This window comes from Homo sapiens, chromosome 9, assembly GCF_000001405.40.
Source record: "Homo sapiens chromosome 9, GRCh38.p14 Primary Assembly".
Classification (NCBI taxonomy): domain Eukaryota; kingdom Metazoa; phylum Chordata; class Mammalia; order Primates; family Hominidae; genus Homo; species Homo sapiens.
In genome coordinates, this window is record NC_000009.12 from 20809014 (window position 1) to 20826421 (window position 17408).

At 34.0% G+C, this 17408-nt stretch overlaps 1 protein-coding gene across 19 annotated transcripts in view; it reads left to right on the top strand.

Moving 5' to 3' along the window:
• Nucleotides 1–17408, top strand: part of FOCAD (focadhesin) — a 340326-nt gene that overhangs the window by 153389 nt on the left and 169529 nt on the right. For 15 of the 19 annotated variants that reach the window (XM_047423537.1, NM_017794.5, XM_017014855.2 and 12 more), the window contains 4 exons: nt 10783–10887; nt 11311–11412; nt 11928–12058; nt 13976–14102. In XM_047423537.1, coding sequence (XP_047279493.1) covers nt 10783–10887; nt 11311–11412; nt 11928–12058; nt 13976–14102 — 465 coding nt within the window. The remainder of the gene's footprint in view (nt 1–10782; nt 10888–11310; nt 11413–11927; nt 12059–13975; nt 14103–17408) is intronic. The other 4 variants (XM_047423539.1, XM_047423535.1, NM_001375568.1 and 1 more) reach the window with 1 other exon arrangement.

The window sequence follows — 17408 nt, forward strand, 5'->3', positions numbered from 1 at the left end:
TGTACACAAAAGCATTACGTTGCACATGTTTCTTTGTAGTTTTTTCACTTATCAAGATGTTATGGCCATTTTACCACATTTATGCAGATCTAACTCATGGTTTTTGGAGGCTGCCGGTGTTCACAGCATATCAACAATTTAATGTATGTAACTGTTTCCCTATTGATAGACATTTAAGTTTTCCAAGGTTTTGTTGTTGTTGCATGCATCTGAGGCCTTCTCAGTCATCTCAGCCTTTTAGAACAGCTTTGTCCAAAAGAACTTTCTGCTATCATGTGAATGATCTATAATTTGTGCAGTTTTATGTGGTAACCACTAGTCACATGTAACTATTAAGCCCTTGAAATTTGGCTAGTGTGACTGAGGAACAGAAGTTTTAATCGTATTTAATTTTAGTTAATTTAAATTCAAATTTAAATTAATCAAATTGATTAATTTAATTCAATTGATCAATCAAATTAAAATAGCCAAATGTGGCTAGTGGCTACTGTATTGGGCAACCTAGCTCTAGAATCTCTCTCTTCTTCTGAACAATGAAAATCAATCATTATCTATGCTGTTTATTTTGTATACCTCAAAGACTATCTTAAAATGTTTCCTTGTTCTTTTGTCTTACTTTTTGTCTATAGAAACGATTTTTATACTTTTAATCTTTAAAGTTGAGTTCAAGTTATTCAGTTAATAGTGCTTGAGATTATAGTTGTGAGTTTCTTAACTAGGCTGTGAACCACTTGAGATGGGGGACTGTCTTTTGTCAGTTGTGTCATCAAAGCTTAACACAATCTCAGTGTAGATTTGGCCCTCACATATTTTTGATGGCTGGATATGTAACTCATAAGAGAGTTTTCTGTTTATTATTGATGCTGGAATACTCTAGAAGTTATTCTTTTTAGAAATCCTAAAAACCATTGTTTTCTTAATTGCCACTTTCTTTTAAAGCAAAATGTGGAATGATCCTGGTTTGGGGGTCCCAAAGATGACTAACACGTTTAGTTATTCTCTAAAAGAACTCACAAGACTCAGCATAGAGCTGTAACCATGCTTAAGATTTATTACAGTGAAAGGATAGAAAGCAAAATTAACAAAGGAAAAGGTTCATGAGGCAAAGTCAAGAAGACATCAAGTGCAAACTTCCTAGAGTCCTTTCCCAGTGAAGTCACACAGGGTGTACTGAATTCCTTCAGCATTGAATGATGGCAACATGTATGGGTTCTTTGGGAAATCTGCTATTTTATTAAACCCCAAAATATTGAATCTATCTAGCTTAGTTACATAGTTGCTTACCTAGATGAGCTATATTTAATAATATCTAATTGTTGGAGAGATTTCAAACTCCTCCTTCTAACTCTGGTGTAAAACACATTACCAATGACAGACATAGTAGTAGAAATTGCACCTAATTATACATTATACTTTACTTATAGGACATTGGCTTTTAACTTTTATTTGACTAGTCAGACTGCCAAAGATTTAGAGCTCACGTGGCAGAAATGTGTAGCTACTTTTGTCCAAGAAGGAAATTCTATGGATACAGGAATTCAGTCACTATAGTTATCATTTATGTAAGTTTCAGAATGTTAGCAATGGATATAACTGTTGATTATATTCCTTTTTTCCCTGCTGGTAGTTACATATTGGTAATGTAGCCAACCATTACATCATGATTTAAGTTTTTCTTATACTGTTTTCTAAATAAATAAGTTTTCTGACTCTGAGAGATAATAGTCAGATGGCTAATGAGACTCACCTGGAAATAAAGTTTAGGCCAGGAAGGGTCGTGGCTATTTTCTTCTACATCAAACCCCTCAAGTGATGTGATATTTGACTTTATCTTATTCTAGTCTGCAGTATTTCCTGTGTCTTTCCATACTTGAACCTCCTGTATTGCTGACCTTATTTTCTACATACTAGGAAATTTATACCTCAGATTCTGATGATGTTTATGTTTTTGGCATCCTAGTAACCTTTATTGGATGGGCTAATTTTTCTGATTCTAAGTTAACTTGATCAGAATATATTTTGGAGTAACTTTATTGGCAGATAGTAGTCTTTTAATACTTTTTCATAGAATCAAATAATTGCAACATTATTATAAGATCCATTTGCTTATAGAATTTGAAGAGACAAGGAAATTAGACATAATTTATACTCTAAAAGCATTTACAGTGTGCTGGGAACGAGGGACACAAAGGTCTATGAGATGTCATCCCTGTCTTTGTGGGGCTAAGTGGCAAGTACATGGGTTTTAGTGTTAGATTGCTTTGATACAGTCCGAAATTCAGTACAAGCTTCAGTTTTCCGTTTGAAATGTGGTGATAATCATGATTTTCTACAAAGTGCTTAACAGAATGTTATAGTTAGTCTTCAATAAATGCTAGCTGTTGTTATTCAAGGAATCACTACAGATCAGATGCTCAAGCTGGATTGGAATAAGGCTAGAGTGATATATCACTATAGAAAGATTGTCTGGTTGGGACCTTTGCTAGTTTAGATACATTTCTTTCCTTGACCTTATTTGACTCTTAAAGGTTAAACTTCAAGACTGTAGAATACTTCTTTAATTATAATGTTAGTATATAAATATAATTTGAATCTTAGAAGAGTAAGATTATACTGTTTACCTTTTTTTGTGATGTTGCTTACATGCCTGCAAATTCCTTATAAGTGGAGGAAGTAATTACCTTTTTAGCACTTCTGTCAATAAACTTCTTTCCAATGGACTATTTAAATAATAAACATCATAAGTAAAAATGTCAAGTAATTGAGGAAGGTAGAATTAAGTAATGTTCAAAAGCTTAATCACTTATCATGTCATTTTTTGTAGAATGAATAAGTTTTAAAAGTCTCTTCCAATATTAAGATTATTAAGGAATTATGTTTCTGTATATATCATGCAAGCATATTTATTCTTATATTTTATGTTTTATCTTTTCAATTTAACTGAATACACACTATTATCTTACCATTCTTTTAAAAATGGCAAACACACTTGTATATATAGAATTTAGATCAATTTTTCCTCAGGACAAGGGCTTATGCAAAGTTGAGTGAGTCAGCATTTGTTGAATCTAAGGCTATGAGTAAAATGTGAACTAAGAATACACTTTTGTAATTCAGGTCTAGTTTTATAAAACATGACTCTGAAAAGTTAAAAGCAGACACTGCTTTGGAGTTTTGCCTCTCACTTTCATTGGCTGATCATATCTTGAATTATTTCATTCCACTGATAACTTTTTCTATTTATACTAATTTATTACTATATATCTCATATAGTAATAAAGTATGAGCTATCATATTTTTTTAAAAAGGAATAGTTATAAACATTATGTATTGTCTCATCTTCTAACCATGATGAATAGTAACAAAGCCCTTTTTTATTTCTCATAATTTATAAGTAGATAACACTACTTAAGATTTTCGTTATAGAACTGTCTGAAAAATTATGCTCTTTTTTTGCAGCCTCATGAAGTGTTGCCAACGTGTATGTTTTTTTCTGAATCCAGAGTTGAATTTTTGTACTCTGTTTTTTATATGCTTGATTTCACTGAGATGCTGGTTTGTGTCTCTCCTGCGTGTTTTTTTCTTTATGTTTTGTCCAATTTATGGGGTGAAGACTTGCATGATGGCTCTTTGTTTCTGTTATAGATGGCTTGGAATCTTATGTTTGCTGTTACTCTGCCAAGGTAGAATGGAGGAGTGAACTGAGACATAAACTCCTATCCACATTTTGCCATCATCTAACTTTGTGGTCTTTTTGGGCCTCAGTTTAATCTTCGGTAAAATAAAGTTGTTAAGCTAAATGAAGTTGATAAGATATCTTCTGACTCTTAAAAAACAATCCCAGGATTTTTTGTGTATGGTAAACACATAACATGAAATCTACCTTAAAAAATTCTAATTGTACTGTACAGTATTGTTAAGTATATGAATATTTTTGTACGGTGGATCTCTAGAACTTTTTTTATTTTGCATGACTGAAACTCTATACTCATTGAACAGTAGCTCCCCACTTCTCCCTCCCCAACTGTCTGGCAACCACCATTCTACTTTCTGCTCTAAGAGTTTGACCACTTTAGATACTTCATATAAGTGGAATAATGCAGTATTCGTCCTTCCGTGGCTTATTTCACTTAGCATTGTGTCCTCAAGGTTCATCTAAGTTGTAGTATATGATAGAATTTTTCTTTTTAAAGACTAAATAATATTCCATTGTATGCATATACCACACTGTGTTTATCCATTCATCCCGGGATGGACATTTAGGTTGTTTCCATCTCTTGAGTATTATGAATAAAGCAGAAATGAATGTGGGAATGTGAATATTTCCTCAAAATCCTGATTTCAGTTCTTTTGCATAAACAACCTCAAGATCGATCATAGAGTAGATTAAAAAAAATTTTTTTTGAGGAACCTTCATGCTGTTACCCATAGTGGCCACACCTTTTTTACATTCCCACCAACAGTGCACAGATGTTCTAATTTCTTCACATCCTTGTCAATACTTCTGATTTTTTAAATAATGTTAATCCCACCAGGTATGAGGTGACATCTCATTATGGTTCTAATTTGTGGTTGGAAAGGGTACTTAGTGTGATTTCAGTCTTAAATTTGTTAAGACTTGTTTTGTGATCTCACACGTGGTCCATCCTAGAGAATGTTCGGTGTGCACCTGAGAGAGAACATGCTGTTGCTGTTGGGTAGAACGTTCTATGTGAGTTTGTTAGGACCATTTGGTCTACAGTGTTGTTGAAGTGCTCTGTTTTCTTATTGATCTTCTGTCTGGATGTTCTATCCATTATTTAAAATAGGATATTGAAATCATCTACTATTACTGTATTGCTTTCCATTTTCCCCTTTGGTTCTGTCAATGTTTGCTTTATATATCTGGGTGCTATGATGTTGGTTGCATATATATAATTATCGTATTGTCCTGGTGAATTGACCCATTTATCATTATATAATGTCCTTCTTTCTCTCTTGTGACGATTTTTTATATGGACAACCTTGCTGTCTTTTGGTTACCATTTGTATTAAATATCTTCTCACTTTCAGCCTGTGTGTGTCCTTAAATCTAAAGTGAGTCTTTTGTAGACGTTATTATAGTGGGATCTTGTTTGGGTTTTCGGAATCCACTGTATGTCTTTGATTGAGCAGTTTAATCCATTTACATTGAAAGTACTTAGTGGTAGGAAAGGACTTACTATTGCCATTTTGTTAATTGCTTTTGTCTGTCTTATAGCATTTTTTTGGTCCCTTGTTTCTTCTCTTGCTGTCTTCTTTTATGTTTCATTGATTTGATAGTGACACTTTGATTCATCACTCATTTTCTTTTCTTTTTTCTTTTTTTCTTTTTTTTTTCTGAGATGAAGTCTCACTCTGTCGCCCAGGCTGGAGTATAGTGGCACGATCTTGGCTCACTGGAACTTCCGCCTCCCAGGTTCAAGTGATTCTCCTGCCTCAGCCTCCCAAGTAGCTGGGATTACATATATGTGCCACCAATGCCCAGCTAATTTCTGTGTTTTTAGTAGAGATGGGATTTCACTATGTTGACCAGGCTGGTCTTGAACTCCTGCCCTCAAGTGATCCATCCACCTTCAGCCTCCCAGAGTACTGAGATTACAGGCATGAGCTACCGTACCCAGCCACTCATTTTCTTTTGTGCATGTTCTATGTGTATTTTTTTTATGGTTGCCATGGGACTTACATCAATATCTAACAATATTTTAAGCTGATAACAAGTTACATAAACTTCAATCACATACATAAACTACTCTTTTACTTCTCCCTCCTTTTTATGTTACCAATGTCACAAATTACATCTTTTTAATAAAGTTCATCCATTTACATGGTTTTTTTAGTTATTTATACTTTTGCCTTCTAAACCCTATACCAGAATTAAAAGTGATTCACGCACCACTGTTACAATATTATAGGATTCTTTGTTTAGGTATTACCAGTAAACTTTATATTTCCATATGCTCTCATGTTTCTGTCTGGAGTCCTTCTGTTTCACCTTGCAGGACTACTTTTAGTATTTTTTGTAAGGCATGTTTAGTGGTGATGAACTCTCTCAGCTTTTGTTTATCTGGAAATATCATTACTTCTCTTTGTTTTTTTTTTTTTGTTTTTTTTTTTTTTTTTGAGACAGTCTCGCTTTGTCTCCCAGGCTGGAGTGCAGTGGCACAACCTCAGCTTGCTGCACCCTCTGCCTCCTGGTTCAAGCAATTCTCATGCCTCAGCCTCCTAAGTAGCTGAGATTACAGGCATGCACCACCATACCCAGCTAATTTTTGTAGTTTTTTTTTTTTTTTAGTATAGGTGGGGTTTCACCATGTTGGCCCAACTGGTCTCGAACTCCTGATCTCAGGTGATCCTAACACCTCGGCCTCCCAAAGTGTTGGGATTACAGGCACGAGCCACTGCACCCGGCCTCTCCTTCGTTTTTGAAGGATAGTTTTACCAGATATAGTATCCAGTATCTTGGTTGGCAGTACCTACCCACCCACCCCTGCCCACTCCTTTCAGCACTTTAAATATATTATTTCACTCCCTTCTTGCTGGCAAGATTTCTGCTGAGAAATCTAGTCATAGTCTTATAGGGGCTCCCTTAACAGTCCCATGATTATAAATTAATTTGTTTATCAAGGAACTTAAACGCTGGAGGAGGGAAGAGAAAGCATTGAGTTATATGAAGCCAGATCTTGAGACAGTCAATTATAGGACACTTACCAGCTTCTTTTATATTAAAGGCGAAATCTGAGCATTCATTGTATTTTCAGCCTCTGAAGGGTATAAGATTCAAGATTAGGAGGATCAAGAGCTGGTAATTACATCTCAAGTAAATACATATTCACAAGGAAATAATAATAATAAAAAATTAGTCCATCTTTTATGTAAAATTATTTTCCACAGATGTCTATCTATATCTGTGTTTTCCTAGTGAAACAGTCCCTGTTTTATTTTTTCCATTTAATTGGGGACTGAATTTGGGCTATTATGCCTTGAGAACTGTATTAAGTCTAAGATTATTTACTGTAAACATTTCCTTCTTTTTTCATTTCTGAACTGGCCAGAGGAAAAGACACACCCTTACGTGCTTTTTTTAGGGCCAAGTCTCATAAAGGAACTGTGTACTCTTAGACATAAATACAGTACTTTATTTCTCCCCTGACAGTATAATTATAGCATTTGTTTAAAAGTCACACAACTAAATACACTAGTTTATAAAATGTCAGTAAATATACTCATTGCCCTTCTAAAAACTAAGAATCTGTCATTGTGTCTTGGTAGAAATCTTTCTAGAAGGGGATAATGCGTTGAGATCACTGTAAGCCAATTTAAGATAACCTTCTGTTTTTAATTAAAATGGGAACTGAAAAGTCAGTTCAAAAATTTGTCTCCTTTCATTTGCCGAAAGTGAGAGTGATAGAATTCCTGTTCCAATCAAGTCTCTGCACTTGTTAAAAACATCATACATTTTGGCTGTCTGTTGTGAGATCATAGCTATTACATGCACAGCTCCACATGCTGCTGTGGTATATCGTGGTCAGGGTCATTAATGAATTAATGTTTAATTGTCAATGTCTTGGTGGTAAAGTTAAGAGGATATTTTTTCCTTTTTGAAATTGAATTAAAATAGATGTCTTCGAAGGTTAGAAGGAACAGGCTTTCTAAGAATAGAACAGATAGAGAAAATGAACAAATACAGTGGGCCCTTGATATTAGCTGGTTTTTCATCTGTGGATTCACCAGCTGCAGACAGAGCATATTTGGGGAAGAAAATAAAAATAAGAATTTAGCAATAAAGATAATATGAATAAACAATATAGTACAACAACTATTTACATAGCATTTACATTGTTTTAGGCATTATAAGTAGTGTAGAAATGATTTAAAGTGTATGAAAGGATGTGCATAGGTTGTATACAAATACCTATGCCATTTTATATAAGATGCTTGAGCATTTCTGGATTTTGCTATCCATGGAATGAGGTGTGCGTATCTGTGTGTCTGACCATCCTGGAACCAGTCCCTGTAGATACTGAGGAATGACTGCTGGACAATAAACTTTTGAAATATAGCATATGGCAAATAAAATTTTTTGGCATTACAGTTTGTGCTATCAAGTAAGTGCTTTGCTTATAGTAGATATTTACCAAATAATTTTGAATTGAATTTAAAAAACCATTAAAATATAATTTACATCTCATGTAATTCATCCATTTGAAGTGTACAATTCAATGGCTTTTATTATATTTACAGAGTTTTGTAAACATTACTACAACGAATTTGAGAACATTTCATTACCCCCGAAGGAAACCCCATGCCCATAAGACGTCACTGCCTGTTTCACCCTTCCTGACCACCCCCTGCTTCTTACTTGCCCTATCCTAGACAACCACTAATCTACCTTCTATCTCTACATACAGCCTTTTGTGGCTGTTTTTTTTCTCTTACCATAATGTTTTCAAGGTTCATCCATGTTGTAGCATGTATCAGTACTTCCTTTATTTTTATGGCTGAATAATATCCTGTTGTGTGGTTATATTGTATTTTGTTTATTTATTCGTCAGTTGATGGGCATTGGGTTGTTCTGGGCATTCTGCTCATATAAATGAGATCATATAACATGAGGCCTTTTGTGGCTTTTTTTTCTCTTAGCATAATGTTTTCAAGGTTCATCCATGTTGTAGCATGTATCAGTACTTTATTTATTTTTATGGCTGAATAATATCCCATTTTATGGTTATACTGTATTTTGTTTATTCATCAGTTGATGGACATTGGGTTGTTTCCACTTTTTGGCCATTGTAAATAATGCTTTTCTGAAAATTCATTTACAAGATTTTGTGTGGACATATGTGTTCTTTTTTCTTAAGTAGATAACTAGGAATAGAATTGCTACATCACATGGTAATTCTATGTTTACCTATTTAAGAAATTGATAGAATGTTTTCCAAAGGGACTGAACTACTTTACATTACCACGAGCAGTGTACAAGGGTTCCAATTTCTTCACATATTCGGCAACACTTGTTATTGTCCATCTTTTGATGATAGCTTTTGCATCATGTGTAAGGTGGTATCTCATGGTTTTGATTTGCATTCCATCATGTCTCATGAAATTGAGCATATTTTCCTGTATTGGCCATTTGTTTATCATCTTTGGAGAAAGGTGTATTCAGATCCTTTGCCTATTTTAAAACCTTTTTTTTGGGTAAATTATTGGGTTTTAAGAGTTCTTTATATAGTCTGGGTACAAATCTCTTATTAGCTATATGGTTTGCAAATATTCTTTCCCATTCTGTACATTGTCCTTTCACTTTCTTTATGGTATCTTTTGACGGACAAGCATTTTTACGTTGATGAAATTCATTTTTCCTTTTGTGGCTTGTACTTTTGTTGTCATGTCTAAGAGCTTAGTCTACCCCAATGTTACAAAGACTTAATCCTATATTTTCTTTAAGAGTGTTATAGTTTTAGCTCGTACATTTAGTTCTAAAATCCATTTTGAGTTAATTTTTACATGTTGTATGAGAAAGGGGTCCAACTTGATTCTTTTGCATGTGGATATACAGTTGTTGAATTCCAGCACTATCCCTCCGAGAGACTCTTCTTTCCTTATTGTTTTTTTCTGGGGATCCTTGTCAAAAACCAATTGATTATAAATATAAGTACTCATTTCTGGACTCTGAATTCTATTTCATTGATTTGTCTTTCTAATCTTATGCCAGTACCATACAGTTTTGATTACTTTAGCTTTGTGGTAAATTTGGAAGTGAGAAGTTTGAGTCTTCAAACTTTGTTTTTCTTTTTCAGGATTATTTAGGGTATTTAGGGTTCCTTGCTTTTACACATGCGTTTATGATCAGCCTCTCAATTTTTGCAAAGAAGCCAGCTGGAATTTTGATAAAGATTGCATTTAATTTCAAGATCAATTTGGGAAATAATGATGTCTTAACAATGTTATGTCTTCTAATCCATGAATGTATTTCTTTTCACATTTTATTGTGTCATGCATAGAGATTGAAATGAGGACTTAGAGGGAAATTTTTGTCCATTGGCTCCTTTATAGTACACTGACTTCAGTTACTTCTTATTGGAGTAACCTAATTGAATGTTTCATTATGTGAAATTTTATTGTTTACATACCTTAAGTGTTGGCTGTTCATTAGAACTTTACATTTCTTTGAGGCAGGATATATCTTTTTATTTTTTTGAGACAGGGTCTTGCTCTGTCATCTAGGCTGGAGTGCAATGGTGCAATCATGGCTCACTGCCACGTTGAGCTCCCAGTGTTAAGTGATCCTCCCACCTTACCTTCCCAAGTAGCTGGGGCTACAGGTGTGCACTATCATGCCCAGTTAATTTAAAAGTTTTTTGTAGAGACAGGGTCTTCCTGTGTTGCCCAGGCTGGTCTTGAACTCTTGGACTGAAGCAATCCTCCTGCCTTGCGTTCTCAAAGTGCTGGGATTACAGGTGTGAGCCACCATGCTTGGCAAGGCAGGGTGTATCTTAACTACTATTGTATTTCTCAGAAGTGATGTTATAGTTATTCAATAAAAGCACTTTTCGATTGGTGTTTGGCAGCTAATTATAAGTGGTAGAATACTAGTGACACTATGAAATTATCATTAGCAAGTAATAGCTAACTGATATATTCTAAGTCTTCCAATTCATTCATATTCATATTATTCCTCTGGAAAAAAAGAGATAAATATTCCATTATATATTACTTTTTTGTAACAAGGCATATTTAATATATTTTAAAAATTCATTTTAGGTGCCAAATCTGATTCCAGTTTTGATGTTCAAATTGGGAAGACCACTGGAACCTATATTATATAATGATATATTGTATACTTTACCTAAGCTTGGTGTTCACAAGGTTAGTATGTTAATTAATTTAGTTGGCGAAAAAAGTGAGTCATGAATAATACTTTGAATTCTTTTTGGTATTATGAAATTTTAAGCCCTAAATTTTGCCATAGTCACTACTTCTCTTGTTGAGCTAGGAGGTAATATCTAAAGACAAAAGTATTTATTACAATATTTAATAATTAATTGTTTTAAATTACTTAGTATCTAAGTTTTCACTTTGGCTATTCTCTGAGATTAGGTCCTTATGTCCCCAGGATTGTTATCTAGCCCCTCCAACGCTATTTTTCATCCTCTAAGAAGGTGGGTAATATTGCAGCAAGCTTTCTTCTCAGTCTTCATTTTATAACAAGGGGTTTAAAAATGCTTTTGGTAACCTCGAGGTTGTCTGCATTCAAGTTTATGCAACTAGAGTTTCTTCAATATTTTCTAGGTGTGTATAGGACAAATTCTACGAATAATACAACTACTTGGAACCACACCACGACTAAGAGCTGTCACTTTGCGCTTGCTGACATCTTTGTGGGAAAAGCAGGTAATTTCAGATATACACTTGCATGAGTATTAAATATGTTCCTTTCACTGAAGGAAAATAATTATGTCATATATGGCAATGCTTTGGTTTAGTGGTATTAATGAGTGGCATCAGTGATTGCATTGAAAAAGTTTTGATTTATTGTGATGCATTTGTAATGCAGTTAGTTAACTTTCAGAGAAATTGAGAATATAAAATCTCATTTCTTTATTTCTGAAATGTATCTTTCCATTTGCTTGAGAAAGTAATGGAAATATAGTTATAAATGATTAGAGCCTTTGTAATTAGGGTGAGATTTAGCCACTTTCTTCTTGTTTTATGAAATCAACAGTACATTGGTGTATAAGAAAATCCCCAGTAATCACTATAGCAATCTTCTCTGCTGATTAGAAGAACGACAGTATAATTTGCAATGCAAATGGAGGATTTGGAGGTGAAAATGCTGAGTAAAAGGAAGATAATGATTATTCAACTCAAGTTGGGAAACTACCTTTTTTGTAAAATTGCCTTCGTAGGACCGAGTCTATCCTGAACTGCAGCGTTTCATGGCTGTGTCTGATGTACCTTCTCTTTCGGTGGGCAAGGAAGTCCAATGGGAGAAACTGATTGCAAAAGCAGCATCAATCAGAGATATATGTAAGCAGAGGTATGATGTCATTAACTCTTAGGAATGTATATCATGATATATTATTTTGTATTTAATTTTTTAATTGCAAGCAAGAGGCAAGAAAAGATAGGCAGAGGATATATAAGTACTAATAATTTTTTAACTTAAGTTTTCTGATTATAAAATGTAATAATATTGAACAATAGCTTTGAGAAGTATGTCTTTTCTTTTCAGGACTAGTCTTGTATCTAGGTTCGTAGGATATTTATATCGTTTTCTGATTAATAATTTAATATTGCAGTAAAACATGTGATGTTATGTTTTCTATTTTTCTGTATATGAATCCCTGAAAACTACACAGTAGACTGTTGTCATAAACTATTCTTTCTTATATTCTCCCTTTGTTTAAGTAGGGAGATAAGTAGTTTTAATGGGGAGACCTTATTTTTGGAAATGGAATTATTTGTAATTATAACAAGGAAGAAAATGATGATGAATTTTTATGTATGCTGTAAGCTTTTAGGAAAACATAAAGAAATTAGGAAGATGACTCTGCTGTTCTAGATTATGGATTAATAAACAGGGTGGAGGTGACAAGACTGAAATAATACAAGTCAAGCTCTACCATATCCAAATTTTTTTTTCTTGCATGTGGTAAGATAAAAATGTTTACAGAAGAAATGGACTTGATGCATTTGAAACTGTAGTCCTGCAGTTTCATTTGTTGATCAGCCACTGCGTTGAATTCCTGGTAACGTCATTCTCACTTTTGTTAATGACAGCAGTGTGAATGCTACTCTCTGAAGCTGTGCAGTGGGTTGGCCCAGATGCTGATAACATGGATGATTCCTGTTTCAAGTAAAATTTGGATCAGAATATACAGAAGCTAAGCCCTAGCATTTTTACCTCTTTTCTAAGCTTCCATCTTTAGCAACACAAAAATGACCTCAATGTAAAAGTTACTAAAAAAAAAAAAAAAAAAAAAAAAAAAGGAGTTACATGTGTGTAACCCAAGAATTGGGAGTTTGAATTTTACTGAGCTATTGGCATGGAAAAAAATTCAGAGATAAAAGTTATTGGCTGACATTCTTATTCTATATAATTAAAGCTGAGGCTCAGGATAGACTGAATATCAGACCAGATCAGTCTACTGCTAACTTATTTAGTATTCCTTTCAGTTACTACCTCCAGATCTGTCAAATTTTTTCATTTTGGAAAATTATTTCCACTTGTGGGACAGTGAAACAATAGATTTCTGACAGGCAATTTCATCAATTTACATTTTGTTAATAAAAGAAAAGATATTATTGAAAGGAAACAAGGAATTCAGGGAATAGACTTGCATAACCATGAAATTAATGGTATTCTGGGGATAGCACAATATATGTGGATTAGAAAGGAGAGGAAGGGGAGGAGGATGAGTGAATGAATTTAGCACAGTGCCTGGCATGAGATAGGAGCTCAGTCGGTTATAGTTTTTATAATTTTTATCCTTATCATCATTATGATAGGTGTAACCACCCTAGTTAGTATTGCTACTACCACAAATCATCTTCTGTTTTCAAATTCCTGCTTTTGTAATGAGTATCTGATACTATCAGGCCAGAATAGCTCTATCTTTACTAATCTCAATTAGGTAATTCAGTTCTTTTTACCATTATTACAGCCTTGAGTTTTTCTCAATTCAGACAATAGGATTTGTGATTTAGAGTGAATGAAATTTGTTAAAAAGTGTCTTTTTGGGTTATTTCTATATAAAAACGAGCATAAAATTATAGCAGAAAATGATCATGATGCACATTTTTGAAGAAAAAACATGGTGTTAATATTTGAGGGTCACCATTTAGTGGCACAAGAGTATAGAAAATGATGGATGCTTTTTGTTTAGGCAAAAGATCTGGGAGTGATAACTGCACTTTAGCATTAATTTTGCTTTTAAACTTTCATTTCTTGTAGGCCATATCAACATGGTGCAGATATGTTGGCAGCTATTTCTCAAGTGTTGAATGAATGCACCAAGCCTGATCAAGCTACTCCAGCAGCCTTGGTATTACAGGGTCTTCATGCACTCTGTCAAGCTGAGGTAGGCATTTTTAAATTGCTTTGGATAATTTTGAAGAAAATCTTTTATAAGGCAGAGTGGGTACAAGAATGTAAGATTAGATTCAAATAACTGAAGTCTGAGTGTTCATTCCCAGTGAATTTTTTCTTGGAAAAGTGAAGCAAGACCTACTTTACAAATTCTTTCTAGAAGGGAATCTTGAAACATCCAGTCATGTAGGCATTCTCTAGAGATCAAAGAAAACCAGACTTAAGATTTTTCTTTCTTCTTATTTATTTTTGTTAAAACAAAAGGGAAAGTTATGCCTATAGGAGAACTCTAGAATATAGTTGCTTCTTAATTTTGTGATTAGAGAGCTTTAGAAACAGGTGAGGTGAAGAAATTGTCGTTGGCCAGTGGCACTTTTATAGCTAAAAGATTGGGAAAGAACCATTCATTCCTGGTGATTAGACTGAGTAGGGTGGGTAAATGTTAGAACTAAACTTGTAAATCATTTTCTGAACTTCAGACTGTTCCCAGAATTATAACACAGCAGAGAGAATCTACTGTTTTAGAGAAATGTTTTAGAGAAATGTGGTAATTGCACCAAAGATCATTCATTGACCTAACCAAAGGTTTTGACTTAGTGAACATATATACCCAATTGTAGTTTTTTAGTGAATGAGACTAAGTAGAATTCTCCCACCTTAAGGTTATGGTCAGTTATGGTTGATAATGATAGTAATGAATATAATGATCTGATAATATAAGTGACAGCCATATTGAGCGTTATGCTCGTGTCCTTGGGCTAAGCACTTTTTATGTATTTTTCTTAACAACTCTGCAGTATAGGGATTAACACCATTTTACAGATGAGGAAGATAGACCCCAGAGAGAGGTTAGATATTTACGCCGGATCTTGGTATGAGAATACACTTCTATTATTTTTGGTGAACACTCATTTCAGCAGGCAGTGAACATCATTGCTGTTTAAAAACTGATGTGTGGTAAGGACAATGCTTTCACATCCTGTGCCCAATATTTGGAAAAGTTGTTAGAACTTAATGGCAAGGGGCTATTATAGCAGGAGAATACCACACATGCCCAAGGACATTTGATTTTACTGCTTCTGTCAGTCATCTGAGATTGGGAAATATCTCTTTAATAGTTATATTACTTTCATAATAAGTAATCCTGAAATCTATTTTTAAACCAGTTTTGAGAGAAGAAAGAATTCTAAACTTTCACCACCAAAAGGTGACCATTTTTACTGTTTTGTTGTATTTCCTTTTCATTATTTTTTCCTAACAGGCATCAACTAATTTCTGAAATTAACATTTTTTCTTATAATAAATAGTAATTTAGCCTTATTGCTTTTATGATTCCATTGTTTTCTCTGCCCATCCCCTCCTGTTACTATAAGGCTGTACAGTTTATCAATGCTTTTTAATTCATAAGAAATACCCTGAGTTTGGCACTGACTTTCCTCATTCCATTTCTCTAAGACATCATCATTAACTGTGGTTAGTACTGAAGATAAATTTTTAGGCACTAGTGTACATAATATATATCAGTTGTTCTATGTGTCCTTTGACTAATTTAGTTAGCTTCTCTGAAACTTTGTTCCTTCAAATGAGGATAAAATAAGATTATACACAAAAAAGACCTAGTGTAATATCTGCTCACATAGGTATTAATAATAAAGCACTACCACTAATTAGTTAAGTTCATTTTATTAGAAAAAGAATGCTTATTTTCTTACCTCTTGTTTTTCGTCTGTTCATTCTTGTCTAGAAAGTAAATTATTTTATCGATGCTTACTAAAGCAAACTATTTTATTGATGCTTACTAAGTGTTATATACCAGTTTTCTTTATAGATATTACCAATGTCCAGAATTGTGGAATTTGTTGAAAATGACTGCATTACTATTAATTTTGGTGATAATTTTTTTTTAATGTTTGGTAATGAATAGCTGTGTGTTTAAATAAGTAGATGTAATCTATTTTCCTTTGAGGCTTGATGATGGTAGTAATATATCTTTCTGTTTTGTTTAAGGCTTTTCAAGCTTTGCGTGTGTGTGTGTGTGTGTGTGTGTGTGTGTGTGTGTGTTCATTATTTGTGAAGCTGCTGCTATGTCCTGTGATGTGTGTTACAGTCATAAAGTATACTTGGTATTCACCAGCTCTTGCCAGGCCACATTTACTAACTGGGGGCTCATCTTTTGTTTTGTGTCCAGAGTGCTATTCACAGAGGTCAGCTCGCATTCTGTGAAGCCAGTTATTTTGTTTTCTAATTGATATCATGTGTGAAGCGTGATGTAGTCAAGGTTTCAAGAAGGAAAACATTCAGCATAGTTATAAATCCATTTCCTGGTGGCATTTGGTAATGATTTGTCTATCTGTTACTGTTTAGATCCTTGACTATCAAATATAATTAGGTATATAGAAAGACAGCCTAATTTGGTAAAATAAAACAAATTAATAAAGATAAGAGAATAAATTGAATAACTCTATCTTTAAGAAAATACCTTAGTTGGAAAAGTACCCAGAATTGGATTTTGTAGGGCTTTCCCAACTTTGCCTTTGTAAAATAAGTAGTGCTTTTTTCACCCTTAGGTTTGAAAATGAACTCTTTCATCTTGAAAGTTATAATCATGAAATTCTTTTGTCTTTGCTTGCATCAGATTAAGTTTAGAATTATTGCTGCTTAATTATTTATCCTAGACATCAATCAAAGATTAAAAGAGTGGATTCTGTCTACCTTCCAACTCTTTCAAGGTAAAGATTGTGTTTTCAATATGGGTTTCTTTAGTGCTACTTTGCTGAACAAACAACAGAGAGGGAAGGTTGTAGGAATCTTGGCTGACCATAAAGGCAAGAATTTAGTCTGGCTGTCTGGAATTGGTAAAGAGAAATTTGTCCCTTCCTTAATGCTGTTGATGTATTGATTTGGGAATTTACAAGTTTGTTTTTAGGGCTGAATTGCTTTTAAAAAATTACAGCTACTATTTCTTGGGTTCTGTAATTGTTAATATTGAGTGTCAACTTGATTGGATTGAAGGATGCAGAGTATTGTTCTTGGGTGCATCTCTGAGGGTTTTGCCAAAAGAGATTAACATTTGAGTCAGTGGACTGGGAGAGGCAGGCCCACCCTCAAACTGGGAGTGTAGCATTTATTCAGCTGCCAGCATGACTAGAGTAAAGCCGGCAGAAGAAGTTGGAAGGACTTGACTTGCTGAGTCTTCCAGTCTTCATCTTTCTCCCATGCTGGATGCTTCCTGCCCTCGAACATCAGACTCCAAGTTCTTCAGCTTTTGAGCTCTTGGACTTAAACCAGTGGTTTTCCA